General features: G+C 37.2%; 1 annotated feature.

The window, feature by feature from the left end:
- Window positions 2,074-2,368: a silencer, noted in NCBI's record as "tiled region #13515; K562 Repressive DNase matched - State 13:Ctcf". NCBI's record gives its function as "represses a minimal TATA promoter and a strong SV40 promoter by Sharpr-MPRA in K562 cells {active_cell/tissue: K562}" and the evidence as "EXISTENCE:reporter gene assay evidence [ECO:0000049][PMID:27701403]".

The raw sequence follows: 2,368 nt of genomic DNA on the forward strand, positions 1-2,368 counted from the left end.
GCATGTTTGGTTACAATGTAATATATTTCTTACAATAAGTCTCAGTAAAACCACTATGTTAAAAGATGGAAAAAAGAGTCCAAGGAGAAAAATGAGCTAGGAAAATGAATGCATATTTTGTAAAGGCCTCTGCCTTTGGAAAGATGGAAACATGTTGAAGGACAAACTAGCTCACTAACTAGAAGAGTGTTCACGAGAGGAGTGAGATAAGGCTGAAAAAGTAAGATGAGGTGAGAAAAGTGGTGAAGTACAGAGGACTTGAAATCCAAGCCAAAGATTTCAGGTTTTGTTCTCATGTAGAGGAGAGCCATTGAAGATTTTTGGACAGGGGAGTAACAGTGTCAGAGTTACGTACTAGGAAGATTAATCCATCAGTGATAAATTGCAGGAAGTAGGAATTAGACCTGGGCAAGAGACTAGTGGTGTATTATAATACTGACTGAACAAGAGTGATGTTTGTTATTTCAAAAATAAAACATAACTATATGAAAAATACTTTATACATTTGTAAACACTAACATAGGATAAAGCATCATTGCTATTATCCCAAATAGAGATTTGTTTTCTTATAAAGAAATTAAAGTTTAAAAAACCTTCCCCTTTAATTGTGTTCTTTCAAATAAAAAGAATAAAAATTACATGATAGTGACACTATTGCAACACCACATACAAACAGTATAAAAATTGGGAATTAATTTGTAGGCCTTTTTCTGTTTTCTTAATATTAGCATTAGGCTTTCTTTTTCCTAGGCATGCAAAAATTATAACTCAGAGATTTCCTTTGAAGTTATAGCACTCTCATGTTTAGTAAATTACCAATATAGGTAGAATTTATATTACTGATATGTCTAAGAATTACCATAACTCAAGAAAACCCTTGAAAAGGCCAGATTATGTCTATGCCTCATTGTATTTCAGGACCTAGCATAGCGCCTGATGCATAATAGGTAAGGTTGCCATCTTTGACAAATAAAACTGCAGTATTCCTAGTAAAATTTGAATGTCAGACAAAAAATGCATTTTTTTGGTGCAAATATGTTTTATTTCAGATAAACAACAAATAATTTCTTAGTATGCATATGCCCCAAATATTGCATGGGACCTATTTACCCTAAAAAATTATTTATTATTTTTCTGAAATTCAGGTTTCACTGTGTCATATGTTTTATCTGACTACTCTAATACTAGGTGTCCAGTAATGTTAAATGAATGAGTGAATGCTTATATGTGTATGTGTTTTATTGTGAACAAATATATATAATATAAAATTTACCACTTTAGGCCAGGCGCAGTGGCTCATGTCTGTAATCCCAGCACTTTGGGAGGCTGAGGCAGGCAGATCACTTGAGGCCAGGAGTTCGAGACCAGCCTGGCCAACATGGCAAAACCCTGTGTCTCTTAAAAATACAAAAATTAGCCGGGTGTGGTGGTGTGTGCCTATAATCCCAGCTACTTGGGAGGCTGAGGCAGGAGAATCGCTTGAACCCTGGAGGCAGATGTTGCAGTGAGCCAAGATCTCACCACTGCACTCCAGCCTGGGTGACAGACGGAAACTCTGTCTCAAACAAAAAAAAAAAAAAAGAAAAAAACCACTTTATTCACTTCCCAGTGTACAATTCAATGGCATTTAGTACATTCACATTGTTGTGCAACCATTAGTGTGATCCCTCTCTGGACTTTTTCACCATCCCAAACTGAAACTCTGTACCCATTAAAAAACAGCTCCCCGTTCCCTTTGGTCACCACTGTTCTACTTTGATAACCACTATTCTGCTTTCTGTCTCTATGACTTTGCCTATTCTAAGTACCTCATATAAGTAGAATCATAGAATATTTGTCCTTTTATGTCTGAATTATTTCATTTGGCACAATGTTTTACCATTCATCCGTGTTTTATCATGTATCTGAATTTTACTCCTTTTTAAGGCTGAATATATGTGTTTTTGTTACAGCATCTTAGTAGAATGTGAGTATAAAGACGCCTCATAATCCTCATATAGTCTTTCAAGCTTTACCCCAATTCCAGCCCTTTGGGGGTCGGAGTTTTGATCCTTATTATTGCCCATTTACAGGCCAACAGCTTTCCACCCCCCTGTAAGGAGCATATAGGGGTCAGAGGGCAGCACTACCTGCAATAGAATCATTGAACAAACACATCCTCTTGTTCTGTCCCTGTGTGATGCTGCCTCCAGCTGTCACAGCTTCCTCATTTCCTAAACACAGGAGCTTATCAGCCCAGTCCTTGCAGAGCCAGCCACCAGAGTCCTCTGGCTTTGCCAAATTTCCTGAACTTCTAACACATTGTCTCAACATAGATCTTTCCAAATCTTTCTTTACAACTGCTGCCATGTACTGGGGTGATAGTCCA

Source organism: Homo sapiens, chromosome 1 (genome assembly GCF_000001405.40).
Source record: "Homo sapiens chromosome 1, GRCh38.p14 Primary Assembly".
In the NCBI taxonomy this organism is placed as follows: domain Eukaryota; kingdom Metazoa; phylum Chordata; class Mammalia; order Primates; family Hominidae; genus Homo; species Homo sapiens.